We start from the raw sequence: 15,022 nt of genomic DNA, 5'->3' as shown, positions 1-15,022 counted from the left end.
CTTCCACTGCATGGAAGGGTGACACAAGGTCATCAAGCCCCAGAAAGGAGAAAAGCCTCTAAGCAGGTACCTTGCTTTTCCCAAGGCTCAGAAAGACACAGATGATAGCCACGGTGAATGCTCCAGAGTCTTCCAGAGTCCTTGTACTAAGCTAAAACTCAGATGAAAATTCTCACAGCCTGTGTTTTTTGTTTTATTATTTTATTTTTATTTTATTTTTTATTTATTTATTTTTTTGAGACAGAGTCTCACTCTTTTGCCCAGGCTGGAGTGCAATGGTGCAATCTCTGCTCACTGCAACCTCCACCTCCCAGGTTCAAGTAATTCTCCTGCCTCAGCCTCCTGAGTAGCTGGGATTACAGGTGCGTGCCACGACATCTGCCTAATTTTTGTATTTTTAGTGGAGATGTTTGTTTTATTTTTAACATTTTAGGCTATTTACCTCATAGTGGAGTGGCGGGCCTCTTGAAATGGTATTTCAAACATCAAACTAAACTGCCTATCTCCTGAGCAGTGGGGTGGGGTGGCCTGAGCCTGGCCCCCTGAGTACCTCTGCCCATCTTCTGGACCAAGCCTCTGCCACGGTTTCCCCCATCCACTCTGAGGCAAAAGCACCATAGCCCAGGAACCCAGCATTGTTCCTCCTTCGGATGCTCAGCCAAAGCCAGAAGCAGGAAGCAGGAAGTGGGAAGCCAGAAGCAGGAAGTGGGAAGTGGGAAACAGGAAGCAGCTTTTTGTGCTGCTTCAAGAGTCCTTCCTCTAAGGCCCGGGGCCTGAAGGCAGGTGAGGGCCCAGGGAACTTTCGTCTGACCATGGCCCTTAAGATGATGGATATAAAGAATCCTTCCCTTGGGGTTCAACTATAGGGAATATTTCTGGAAACTTTTGATCAGGGTGTTGATTTCTGGTATTAAAGAAATAATAATGTGAGAAAAGAAAAAATATTTGGGAGCCATTGTAGAAATAACGTTAACAAATGAAATGCTGTGATTGAATAACACCTAGGCACATTTTTAAAAGTCAACTTAACTTTGAGACAAGTTTTCTTCCATTATAGGAATTACAAATGGCTCACAGGTGTCCCTTCCTCCTGGTGTTTTGGTTGGGTAGCATGGTCTAAAAAACAACTAGGCAGACATTAGCCTGTAATCAACATGGAGTGGACACCCCACGGTGACATTTTATCTAATATACTTGTATGCCTTCCTATCTGTAGTTGATGTGTCCTAGGAAAATTGAGTGCAAATTAAAATTTCCAAAGCCATACGATATTTTAAATGTCCTTTAAGGTCTGTCTCTAATGTATGCATTCTCAAAGAGGAGATATTGTACTCAAGGGGGTGAAAATTTGAATGAGAGGGTGTGTGCAACAAATGGTACTCTTTTATACATCTTTTATATATCATTTCATGTGTTAAGAAAAAATATACAAACAATACATAAATAGGTATACAGTATGTCTTCAATATTAAAATTTCATTGGGGGAGTGATTAGGACAAAAATGTCTAAAAAGCCTTGTTATTGGGGAGGGAGGTAATGAGGAAAGAAATATTGAGAAATACTGCTCCAAATGGATACTTTTGTGAAGCTCTTCTATTTTGAAGTGTCACCTTCTAATTAATTTTTAAAACAGAAATCTGGATTTTCACATCTTGAGATTGCTTAACATAAGACAGACCTACAGAAAGTCCATTACTGCCAGAAGGCAATATTCATCCATCTTAGCCATTACATGGAAGCCCCCAGGAGAGTCTTCCAGCAGGAAATTTGTGCCATGCTATTATAAAATAATAAGGTGCTTATTGTCTACAGCTTGTGGAAACAGTCTCATTATTATTTTATGGCCAGATCTCTTTGGTAATAATAGTACTGATAATTACAAGACCACAATTCATCAAATCAAGACTCCACTGATTGTAAGATGCATCATTAAAATTTGACACAGTGACACATTAAAATTTGACACAGATGCCATAGGCAGTCAGATGCACTGAAAAAATGTTAAATTGTGAAAAAAAATGCATCTTAGGATTGATGAATACAGAAATAATAGCTGAAAATCACAGCCTTCTGTATGTGCCAAGCAAGACCTAGTTTATCTAATCAAACACTTTGAACAGTGATGCCTATTACATGCAGTGATATCTATTATTCACTCCAGTTTACAAAGGAGGACAGCTGAGATTCAGAGAGGTTTACTAACTTGCTGAAGATTACACAGCTCCAAAATGGTAGAGGAAGGACTCAACTTGAAGGCCTCAGGATCCTAATGTCTCAGCCTTCTGGTGAACACAAGGTTGTATCTTTCTCTACCCCTGTTCTATCTGTTTCCCCTGCAACTCAGAAAATAAATTCACCTCAGTGCTTTTAAGGTACAAGTTTCTAGAAAGTGCACAAAATGAAATGCTTATAGCTTTTAAATTGATGAAGGGGAAGTTATTTTTTTAAAAGGTTGTTATGTAAATAATACTTTTGATAATGGGGCACCCTCCTGACATGGTGAAAAGATAAGTAATCTTGAGCCAGGAAAACTTGGGTTTGATTCTTTTTTTATTCTATATGTTGTGCATCTTTATGGGATACAGAGAAATATTTCAATACATGTATACAGTGTGTAATGATCAAATCAGGGTAATTAGCATACCCATTATCTCGAACATTTATTTCTTCATATCATGAACATTCAAAATCCTTTCTTCTACTAATTTGAAAATATATAATAAATTTTTGTTAACTGTAGTCACCCTACAGCAATATAGAACACTTGAACTTATTCTGTCTAGCTGTAATTTTGTATCCATTAACCAGATCCTCCCTATCTCCCTCTCCCCTTTACTCTCCCCAACCTCTGATACTCACGATTCTACTCTCTACTTCCATGAACTCAAATTTTTTATTAACTCCCACATATAAGAGAGAACATGTAGTACATATCTTCCTGTGCCTGACATTTCACTTAACATTGTGGTCTCTAAGCTCATCCATTTACCATGAATTACAAGATTTTATTCTTTTTAAATGGCTCAATAATATTCAATTGTGTATATATACAGATTTTCTTTATCCATTTGCCTGTTGATGGACACTTACATTGATTCTATATCTTTGCTATTGCAAATAGTGCTGCAGTAAACATGGGAATGCAGTTATCCCTTGGATATGCTAATTTCCTTTCATGTATGTGTGTGTGTGTGTGTGTGTGTGTGTGTGTGTGTGTGTGTGTGTGTGTGTTTTTAAAGACCTGATCTCACTGTCACCCAGGCTGCAGTGCAGTGGCATAATATGCCTCTACCTCCTAGGCTAAAGAAATCCTACCACCTCAGCCCTCTAAGTATCTGGGACTACAGGCGCATGTTACCACACCTGGTTAATTTTTGTATTCTTTGTAGAGACGGGGTTTTGCCATGTTGCCCAGGCTGATCTTGAACTCCTGAACTCAAGCAATCTGTGACTTTTTTTCTTTTGGATAAACACCCAGTAGTAGGATTGCTAGATTGTATGGTAGTTCTATTCTTGTTTTTTTGATATCTCTACACTGTTTTCTACAATGGCTGCACTAATTTACATTCCCACCAACAGTGTATAAGAATTCCCTTTCCTGATCGAGACCATCCTGGCTAACATGGTGAAACCCCGTATCTACTAAAAATACAAAAAATTAGCCAGGTGTGGTGGCTAAAACTGGAAGCATTCCCTTTGAAAACTGGCACAAGACAGGGATGCCCTCTCTCACCACTCCTATTCAACATAGTGTTGGAAGTTCTGGCCAGGGCAATCAGGCAGGAGAAAGAAATAAAGGGTATTCAATTAGGAAAAGATGAAGTCAAATTGTCCCTGTTTGCAGATGACATGATTGTATATTTAGAAAACCCCATCACCTCAGCCCTCTTTTTCTATTGATTGGAATAGTTTCAGAAGGAATGGTACCAGCTCCTCTTTGTATCTCTGGTAGAATTCAGCTGTGAATCCATCTGGTCCTGGACTTTTTTTGGTTGGTAGGCTATTAATTATTGCCTGAATTTCAGAGCCTGTTATTGGTCTATTCAGGGATTCAACATCTTCCTGGTTTAGTCTTGGGAGGGTGTATGTATCCAGGAATTCATCCATTTCTTCTAGATTTTCTAGTTTATTTGCGTAGAGGTGTTTATAGTATTCTCTGATGGTAGTCTGTATTTCTGTATGATTGATGGTGATATCCCCTTTATCATTTTTTATTGCATCTATTTGATTCTTCTCTCTTTTCTTCTTTATTAGTCTTGCTAGTGGTCTATCAATTTTGCTGATCTTTTCAAAAAGCCAGCTCCTGGATTCATTGATTTTTTTGAAAGGTTTTTTGTGTCTCTATTTCCTTCAGTTCTGCTCTGATCTTAGTTATTTCTTGCCTTCCACTAGTTTTGAATGTGTTTGCTCTTGCTTCTCTAGTTCTTTTAATTGTGATGTTAGGGTGTCAATTTTAGATCTTTCCTGCTTTCTCTTGTGGGCATTTAGTGCTATAAATTTCCCTCTACACACTGCTTTAAATGTGTCCCAGAGATTCTGGTATGTTGTGTCTTTGTTCCTATTGGTTTCAAAGAACATCTTTATTTCTGCCTTCATTTCATTATGTACCCAGTAGTCATTCAGGAGCAGGTTGTTCAGTTTCCATGTAGTCGAGCAGTTTTGAGTGAGTTTCTTAATCCTGAGTTGTAGTTTGATTGCACTGTGGTCTGAGAGACAGTTTGTTATAATTTCTGTTCTTTTACATTTGCTGAGGAGTGCTTTACTTCCAACTATGTGGTCAATTTTAGAATAAGTGTGATGTGGTGCTGAGAAGAATGTATATTCCGTTGATTTGGGGTGGAGAGTTCTGTAGATGTCTATTAGGTCTGCTTGGTGCAGAGCTGAGTTCAATTCCTGGATATCCTTGTTAACTTTCTGTCTCATTGATCTGTCTAATGTTGACAGTGGGGTGTTAAAGTCTCCCATTATTATTGTGTGGGAGTCTAAGTCTCTTCGTAGGTCTCTAAGGACTTGCTTTATGAATCTGGGTCTTCCTTTATTGGGTGCATATATATTTAGGAAAGTTAATTCTTCTTGTTGAATTGATCCCTTTACCATTATGTAATGGCCTTCTTTGAGTCTTTTGATCTTTGTTGGTTTAAAGTCTGTTTTATCAGAGACTAGGATTGCAACCCTGCTTTTTTTTTTTGTTTTCCATTTGCTTGGTAGATCTTCCTTCATCCCTTTATTTTGAGCCTATGTGTGTCTCTGCACGTGAGATGGGTCTCCTGAACACAGCACACTGATGGGTCTTGACTCTTTATCCAATTTGCCAGTCTGTGTCTTTTAACTGGAGCATTTAGTCCATTTACATTTAAGGTTAATATTGTTATGTGTGAATTTGATCCTGTCATTATGATGTTAGCTGGTTATTTTGCTCATTAGTTGATGTAGTTTCTTCCTAGCATTGATGGTCTTTACAATTTGGCGTGTTTTTGCAGCGGCTGGTACCAGTTTTTCCTTTCCATGTTTAGTGCTTCCTTCAGGAGCTCTTTTAGGGCAGGCCTGGTGGTGACAAAATCTCCTAGCATTTGTTTGTCTGTAAAGTATTTTATTTCTCCTTCACTTATGAAGTTTAGTTTGGCTGGATATGAAATTCTGGGTTGAAAATTCTTTCCTTTAAGAATATTGAATATTGGCCCCCACTCTCTTCTGGCTTGTAGAGCTTCTGCCGAGAGATCCACTGTTAGTCTGATGGGCTTCCCTTTGTGGGTAACCCGACCTTTCTCTATGGCTGCCCTTAACATTTTTTCCTTCATTTCAACTTTGGTGAATCTGACAATTATGTGTCTTGGAGTTGCTCTTCTCAAAGAGTATCTTTGTGGTGTTCTCTGTACTTCCTGAATTTGAATGTTGGCCTGCCTTGCTAGATTGGGGAAGTTCTCCTAGATAATATCCTGCAGAGTGTTTTCCAGCTTGGTTCCATTCTCCTCGTCACTTTCAGGTACACCAATCAGACGTAGATTTGGTCTTTTCACATAGTCCCATATTTCTTGGAGGCTTTGTTCATTTATTTTTACTCTTTTTTCTCCAAACTTCTCTTCTCACTTCATTTCTTTCATCTGATCTTCAATCACTGATACCCTTTCTTCCACTTGATTGAATCAGCAACTGAAGCTTGTGCATGCATCATGTAGTTCTTGTGCCATGGTTTTCTGCTCCATCAGGTCATTTAAGGTCTTCTTGGGCCAGGCGCAGTGGCTCACACCTGTAATCCCCGCACTTTGGGAGGCCGAGGTGGGCGGATCACGAGGTCAGGAGATTGAGACCATCCTGGCTAACACGGTGAAACCCCATCTCTACTAAAAATACAAAAAATTAGCCAGGTGTGGTGGTGGGTGCCTGTAGTCCTAGCTACTCAGGAGGCTGAGGCAGGAGAATGGCATAAACCCGGGCGGCAGAGCTTGCAGTGAGCCGAGATTCTGCCACTGCACTCCAGCCTGGGCGACAGAGCGAGACTCCATCTCAAAAAAAAAAAAGGTACTCTCTATGCTTATTTATTCTAGTTAGCCATTTGTCTAATCTTTTTTCAAGGTTTTCAGCTTCTTTCCGATGGGTTCAAACAACCTCCTTTAGCTCAGAGTAGTTTATTATTACCAATCATCTGAAGCCTTCTCCTCTCATCTCATCAAAGTCATTCTCTGTCCAGCTTTGTTCTGTTGCTGGTGAGGAGCTGTGTTCCTTTGGAGGAGAAGAGGTGCTCTGATTTTTAGAATTTTCACCTTTTCTGCTCTGGTTTCTCCCCATCTTTGTGGTTTTATCTACCTTTGATCTTTGATGATGGTGACGTACAGATGGGGTTTTGGTGTGGATGTCCTTTCTGTTTGTTAGTTTTCCTTCTAACAGTCATGACCCTCAGCTGCAGGTCTGTTGGAGTTTGCTGGAGGTCCACTCCAGACCCTGTTTGCCTGGGTATCACCAGCAGAGGCTGCAGAACAGCAAATATTGCAGAACGGCAAATGTTGCTGCCTGATCCTTCCTCTGGAAGCTTCATCTTAGAGAGGCACCCAGATGTATGAGGTGTCAGTCAGCCCCTACTGGGACATGTCTCCCAGTTAGGCTACTTGGGGGTCAGGGACCATCTTGAGGAGGCACTCTGTCCATTCTCAGATCTCAAACTCTATGCTGGGAGAACCACTACTCTCTTCAAAGCTGTCAGACAGGAATGTTTAAGTCTGCAAAAATTTCTGCTTCCTTTTGTTCAGCTATGCCCTGCCCCCAGAGGTGGAGTCTACAGAGGCAGGCAGGCCTTCTTGAGCTGCGGCGGGCTCCACCCAGTTCGAGCTTCCCAGATGCTTTGTTTACTTACTCAAGCCTCAGCAATGGCGGACGCCCCTCCCCCAGCCTCACTGCCTCCTTGCAGTTCTATCTCAGACTGCTGTGCTAGCAGTGAGCAAGGCTCCTTGGGCATGGGACCCTCTGAGCCAGGCACGGAATATAATCTCCTGGTGTGCTGTTTGCTAAGACCATTGGAAGAGCGTAGTATTAGGGTGGGAGTGTTCTGATTTTCCAAATACTGTCTGTCACAGCTTCCCTTGCCTAGGAAAGGGAATTCCCTGACCCCTTGCACTTCCCAGGTGAGGCGATGCCCCGCCCTGCTTTGGCTCACACTCCATGGGCTGCACCCACTGTCCAACAAGCCCCAGTGAGATGAACCCAGTACCTCAGTTGGAAATGCAGAAATCACCCGTCTTCTGTGTTGCTCACGCTGGGAGCTGTAGACTGGAGCTGGACAGCATGCAGGTGTGCAGTGGCCCCACTACTGGAGGGGTGGGGTGCTTCTGGTGGCAGCAGCCCTGGGCAGGTGGCTCCCAGGCTCTGGAGAGCATGCACTTGGGCTCCCTCTGTTCTGAGGGTAGCCTTCCTGTGTGGTGCACTGCCTGCTCTCTGTGTGGCCATAGGACACTGCATGGGCTAGAGTGCTGAGGATCCAGCCAAACCACTGGGTCCAGATGGTGTTGTGATGCTAAAGACCTCTGGGTGGACATGGGGGCAGCTCAGGGGGTACTCCATGGATGTGGAGATGCAGGGGATATTGGGCTCCAGGGCAGAATGTAGTCTGGTGGAGGCTGGACTCTCAAAATGGTGCCATGCCATAGCAGCTTGGGTCTTAAGGAATGAGAAGGATCCAGCATTTCCTCTCTAGGACAATGCAGTCATGTATACTCCAGGCAGCTCCCTGTACTAGTCTCAGGGCCTGTGAAGGCCAAGGGGTTCTCTCATGACCAGTATTGCAGGAGTCTGTGGTGGGAATGTGGACTGTTGGGAATCTCTTGCCTATCTTTTCCCCACAATGGGGAGTTCCTTCTGGCTTTATACCAATCTTAGGTGGACCAGCTGCTTTGCTTTCCCCACCTCCATGCTTCAAAGTGTCCCTACCACTTCCCTGCTGAATTCCAGTGTATTATCCTAGATGCACTATTCGACGTGTGGTTATCTGTTTGCTGTTTTGGTCCTTCTTTGTGGAGGAGGCAAGTGCTGGGTGCCTCTATTCCTGCTCCAACAATTTATTATCTTCTTCAGACCTATATGCTATTTTCATGGCAAAAGGCAGAAGAGCCTTAGGTTTGATTCTGTCTCTTCCACTGACCAGCTGTGAGAATGTGGGTGGAAGTTTGCCTTTGTGAATCCTGGTTTCCTCCTCAGGAGCCTCTTGCAGATGGAGGTGTGTGAAGCTTGACCAGATTACATGTAAAGTAGGCAGCTGTTTGCTGCCCCTTTCCTATGTATTTATTTGTTTTTTGAGTTGTTTGTTTTTGAGACTTTGGATACTACATTTACTTAAAGTGATTATACCCAGACTCATCAACTCCTTTCCTCTTATAAGCTGGAGCTTAATGTTTATCTGGAGTTGGAAAGAAGCTGATGCCTCATAAATCCAAGCTCTGATCGTCTTATAGCTTCATTAATATTTTCCTGAAGGATGAGATGTTAAACCTACGCTTCTGATAGGTTTATAGCTTTGTGCTTGGGGGCTAGTGTCAGGGAGAGATGTTCTATTTTTATCTCTTTTTTTTCCTTTGTTTTGATTGCTGTTCTGTAAAGGATCTTGGCTGTCCAGAGCATATTTCACTCATTTGGCTGGGATACTTTCTGAGTGGTACAGAGATAACCAATTGTGTAGTTTATATTGAAACTGAAAATTTTGCCTCCCTCAAGAATATTATAATCTTCACTTATTGTTTGAGGCTCCATTGCTTTTGAATAAATACAGAATGTGTTTCCTCTTCCCCTATTCAAGTGGGCAGTTATTTAAATGGACTGTAACAGGAGTTTTCTCTGTTTGCATTGGGAGCCATCTCAAGTTTACATCCAGAAAACCTAATAAAAATTTGAGCTGCAACAACTGGGTGGAAGCAGAGGAATGAAAGAAGTTGTTTGATGAGGATTTTGCCAAATGATGGCACAAGGCTGTTGCTTGCAGAAGGACTTAGCAATTTCTCAGGAAGGGGGAGTTTGCTGCTGCCCACTCCAGTCTTTCTGAAGGTTCAGATGACCATTAATCCCTCTTGCAAAACTATCCCACACATGTGAGGTGGTACATCCTTATACACTGGCCTCACTTAGGGTGCATTTCTCGTAAATTCTCCTTTCCCCTAACTCAGTGTGATACAAAGCTGTTCAAAATTATTATAAACAAAACCAAAACAAAACAACTGAAAATCTCATCAGAGTAGATGTCTCCCAGAGCTTATACAGTAATATTTATCATTTTGCCAATTTCCAGACAGGAAAAAATTCTACATTTGTTAACTATACATTGTGTCATAAATCAAAAGGGAATGTTTTCTTTCTAAGATTTCTCCACTGTTTTAGTTGACTGGAGCACATGTTATCAATTGAACAAGTAGATTTTGTCCAGTAGATGAGATGGTGTGTCAGTTCTGTTTCTTGTTGGTGTTTGGTATCATGGTGGTCTTTTGATTTGGAAAACCATTCCTTCACTTTACCCAACTTGTGATTCCTTAGTACCTAAGCCAGCTGTATTGTTTACAAGAGCAGACTACTAGTGCCTCCTACCAACAGTGTTTTCAGTGACATTATTTTGGTAGCCTGAAATCATTTATGAGTGGAGTGTTTACACCACAGAAATGGGCAAACTCTACAAATCAGGGCTCTCCCCCATATCCCTGACCCCCAGAGAGCTGATTGCTAAACAATTACAGACCTCCAGGGCCCATGGCTGTCAATTTCTCAATGCCTAAAACCCTAGAAGACAGGGGACTAATGTTGGACAGAAAGTCACCACCTGGGAAATTGATCTGGGTCTTCACCAGCAGATAAGTAAGCTGGACATTCCTACTGTCACTGCCTCTGCCTACCATCATGCAGCTGAAAGTAGCTCTGCCTGAGTGTGTGTATACCTGTGTGTGTATTTATGTATGCGGAAGGCCTGTGTGTGTGTGCCTGTGTTTATGTGTGCATTCATGCATGTGACTGTGTGCATGCATGTGTGCAGGTGTACACCTATGTGTGCCCATGTGTGTGCATGTGTGTACCTATATATGTGCATGTACACCTACATGTGTGCATGTGTGTGCGTACATGCCCTGTAGCTCCTGCAAGCAGTTGTCTGAAGCAGCCTCTGTCCTCTGCCACACACATATTTTCTCTTTCTGCCTAACACATCTTTCTCTTCCATCTCAGCCCATCAGAACAGAGCTGGGCCTTCACTAGTCTGGACGATCAGCTGCTCAGAGCCTTGCATACAGTGGGAGGCTGAGGAATGTTCTTTCTAGAAGAATGTGAGTATCAGGGGCAACTCCAACCACATCTTTTCCCTTCTCTTGTCTGCCTCTCCTTCCTTACCTTTCAAATTCACATCTGGGAACCTTTAAAGAGAAAAAGACGCCTGGACTGGGAGGCTGGTGGGAATGAGGAAGGAGGGAGAGCCGTTGCTGCCTGTTTGCCTAGCAGTGGTAGAGAGTTTGTGGACTGGCCGTGGATGTCAGAGCCTGGGGGCTTCTCTAGGATCTTCTGAAGGGCCTCTTCCTTCTCACCAGTGAAAACCTAGACTGATCTCCAAGACCTGAGCCTTTGTATAGCTTTTGGGTTTTGTCAGGCCTCTGCAGCTACTGTTTAGGCCATTGGGGCAGCAGCCTGAGTCACCACTCAGGGTTAGAGATGAGGGCCAGAGCCCTGGCCTTCTCTCTGTTCCCTGAGGCTGTGCTGCACCAGCCTAACATGTGCTCACAGTTTGCCTGTGTTGTTCTATAGTCTTTAAACATAATAGCTTCTTTAAACAAGGGCCCACTGAGGCAGGCCCCTCATATTCCCATTTCACTCTTGAAGAAACTGAGGTATGAATAGGTGAAGTAACTTGCCCCAAATCTTACAGCCAGCAAGTGGCAGAAGCAGAATTGGAAGACAAAGTTCCAGGTTCCCAGCTAAATCTCTAACCTGCCACTCACGGGCCGGAAGCAATGTTTCCGTTTATTTGCTAGTTTCCATAATCTCTATTGTGAATCTCTCTTCAATCAGTTTTGTGTCTTAAACGTAACCAAAGAAATCCAAACTTCCCAGGCTAAGCTGAGGATCTTGGTGTGGAGTCCACTCCTGCTGTGGGGCCTCTAACTCTTGCTCCACTCCATGCCCTGACTTGGTTGCAACCAGGAGATGGCTCCCTGTGCAGACTCAACAGGTTAAAGCTGGAGGAGCCATCCATCTCTGAACACAGCCCCTTGCTCTACCCTGGGGGAATCGAAAGCCAAGAGAGTAGGAGATTCATCAAGGTAGAATGCTGGATTCAGGCTCAGCCAGCCCGTCTCAGGCCCATCTTGTGTTTGTCCCTCCACCTGAGGGTGCAGACTGGGCTCTGCTGGCAGGTGGAGAGTGGGTATATGGGAGCCCCTAGACAGGGGACAGATCATTGCTGTTGGCCACTGGGAGGAGCTGCAGCAAGAAGCACAGAAGCATGTCTTAGAGCCATTCCAGGGCATGATGGAGCTGCAGATAGATACCCACATAAGTGTGGGCATTGGCAAAGCGATGTGAACACTGGGGCTGGGGTCTCTCTGTTCTCCCCAAAGACCCAAGACCTCGCAGAACTATGATAAGGCTAGAGGAAGACTTATTTTTATTTCATTTTTTTCTTTTTTACCTCTAAGGTGATGCCTCGTGCAAAGCTGGTGCTCAAAATATATGATTATGGATGGATAGGTCAACAAAGACATAAACAGCAACAACCCTGGCTGCTCGGCCCTTTTGCTCTCGTCATTGGCTTCTTTTTCCAGAGCATGCATCTTCTAATAGGTCTAACCCCAACAGTGATCAAATGGGACCTCTGTTCTATTCCTTTCTTAACTGTAATCATGAGTTTCACACGGCTGTCATTTTACTGCCTGCTAGGAAAAGGGAATATGTTTGAATTTTATAAGTTTCTGAATTTCATAATTTTTTTATTTTTAGAGGTGCTCCAGGCTGACTCCATACCTCCCACTGAATGACAATTGTTCTAAAGGTAGACATTCTTATTTCATCATCAAGAAAAGCACTCTGTAGTGAACAAGGGCACTCACGCAATTGGATTCATGGAGAGATGTTTGTTTTTCTCCCACTTGTTTACTGTTGCTGGTGTTAGATCAAGTCTGGCCTTTACTATTCCATTAAAAAATGACCATTTGTGATTAGATATTTACAAAAATATATTCAGAATGATATATTTCAGATATTACATTTTTTCTAACAGTTCGTTTTAGTTTTGAATAGAAGCCTTAAAATACTTGGCCAGGTGCGGTGGCTCACGCCTGTAATCCCAGCACTTTGGGAGGCCGAGGCAGGCGGATCATGAGGTCAGGAGATCAAGACCATCCTGGCTAACACGGTGAAACCCTGTCTCTACTAAAAATACAAAAAATTAGTCGAGCGTGATGGCGAGTGCCTGCAGTCCCAGCTACTCGGGAGGCTGAGGCAGGAGAATGGCATGAACCCGGGAGGAGGAGGCTGCAGTGAGGCGAGATCGCACCACAGCACTCCAGCCTGGGTGACACAGTGAGACTCCATTTCATAAATAAATAAATAAATAAATAATTGGAAAAGTAAGAGTTAAAAATAAATCATGGAAAATCATAAAGTGATTCATTATCTGAAATACTTTCTGAGTACAAAGCACTTTGTTTCCTCTTCTTTGCTGATACCTGCATGTGAGCTAAAATGTGAAGGAAGGCATTTGTGATCTGATTTTGTGTCTACAAATGTCTATGCCTAACCTTGAGCTGCTGCCTTTGTTGGTGTGTGAAGTGATGCAGCAGAGCAGGGGATGGCAAACCTTCTGCAAAGGGCTAGAGTCAATTTATTGTACTTTGGGGGCCAAATGTGTCTGCCACGACTCCTCAACCCCGCCATTGTAGCCAAAAAGCAGCAATGAACAATATGTAAAGAAATGGGCATGACTGTGTTCCAATAAAACTTTACACAAACAGGCACCAGGTCAGACCTGCCTTGCAGACTACTGTTTACCAACCCTGTAGTAAACAATACTCAAAGGTACTCTAGTTGAGAATAAAATTACAATTAGCGATAATGGTACAGTACAGCTAGAACATTATTATTTCTGACACAGCGTTAAAGTACCACGTGTATAAAACGCTTCAACATAAATATGGGCAGATTATATTAAAAGGTTGTATTGGCAATCACCATCCAAGTAGTGACCCCTGACCTGTGACTTCTCCTGTCATCTACAATCATTTAAAAAGTTGTTGAACCACTGGGGTGAGAGTGGTAAGATGTGAAATCTTCTCTTTGTCACCCTAATGATGAATGTCTACCTAATCAGTTGGAACAGTGATATCATACATTTCTTTGAGTTGATAATATGGCAAAAAAAAAAATCATGAGGCTGTCCATGAAAATCCCATCTATTTAGGAGATACAGGCAATATAAATGAGAAAAAAAAAGCTCATAATAATAATTACTAAACCTGAAATTAAGGTAGAGGAAGGCACTTGCCCATGAAGATGTTTTAAGTCTGAATGTCCAGAAACAAGAGTCAGCCAAGTCGAAAATTTGAAGAAGTCTGACTGAGTCTTCTCTTTCCTAATCCACTCACAGAAGTAGAGAAGTCTGTTATTTCAGGCCTCAAGCTGACAGCTCCCGGGGCTTGCCCTTCCATTCTGTCCTTTACACCACATCTCAGATATCCCAAAACTGAAACTCGACTTGGTGTGTGCCCTGCCTGCCAGCCTTTTCTTCCTTAAAGGAGGGTAACAGTGGGCAAGAGGCAGCAGCCTCCAGTGGCAGCATCACAACTGACCCCAGCCAAGAAGGACACCATGACATTCATGCTTTTCTTGTGCCTTTCAGGGGAATCCATAAATCAGACCCATTCATGGCCACCTGGGAAAACACCAGGAGCTGTTCACAATCACAGCACATGAACACAATGCCATCAGTCAACGTCTTCTCCTCAACTGTGATCGAAATTAATTTAAAGAGATTTAACTTTAAAAAGGAACATTGATGCGATGTTCACAAATCAATGAGCTAAATATTAGTCCTCATAAGTGTTATAAAATCAGTTAATGATCCTTTCTGCTGTAAGCACAATTCTTAATCATTAGCGCCATTACACATAGCTTCTCTTGAAATGCATCACCCAATACATCATGACACACAGCACTCAGTTTATAAGCAATCATGTAAAAGAATAAGGAGATATCAGTATTTCAAAACTGCTGCAGGCTTCTGACTTCCTAGCAGGCAATAGTCCCCTAGAAACTATAGATTAGTGATGTTCAGCGGTTCTCAAACTTTAGCATGCGTTAGAACCACCAGGAGGGCTTATGAAAACATGGATTGCTGGGGCCCAGCCCAGGGTTTCAGATTTAGCAGATCTATGGTAGGATAAGAACTTGGATTTCTTTATAACCTCTCAGTGGTGCAGATGCTACTGCTCCAGGGACCACACTAAAACCACTGTTGTAGAGAAGGGGCCTACACACTTTCTCTAGAGGGTCAAATTAATACTTCTGCTTTACAGC

The 15,022-nt window shown here is 42.7% G+C and overlaps 1 long non-coding RNA gene across 3 annotated transcripts; it reads left to right on the top strand.

Annotated features, from left to right (window-relative positions):
- Positions 1–716: 716 nt before the first annotated feature.
- On the top strand, positions 717–13,108 carry CTD-2154B17.1 (uncharacterized). 3 transcript variants are annotated; one of them, NR_188229.1, is made up of 5 exons: positions 717–783; positions 2,163–2,297; positions 10,688–10,785; positions 12,148–12,292; positions 12,449–13,108. It is a non-coding gene; the product is annotated as an uncharacterized CTD-2154B17.1 (long non-coding RNA). The 3 variants fall into 3 exon arrangements; NR_188230.1 differs by lacking the exon at positions 12,148–12,292; NR_188228.1 differs by having other exon boundaries at positions 12,148–13,108.
- The last annotated feature ends 1,914 nt before the right edge of the window (positions 13,109–15,022 follow it).

This window comes from Homo sapiens, chromosome 5 (assembly GCF_000001405.40).
Source record: "Homo sapiens chromosome 5, GRCh38.p14 Primary Assembly".
Taxonomy (NCBI): Eukaryota; Metazoa; Chordata; class Mammalia; order Primates; family Hominidae; genus Homo; species Homo sapiens.
This window is presented reverse-complemented; position numbering and strand designations above follow the sequence as displayed.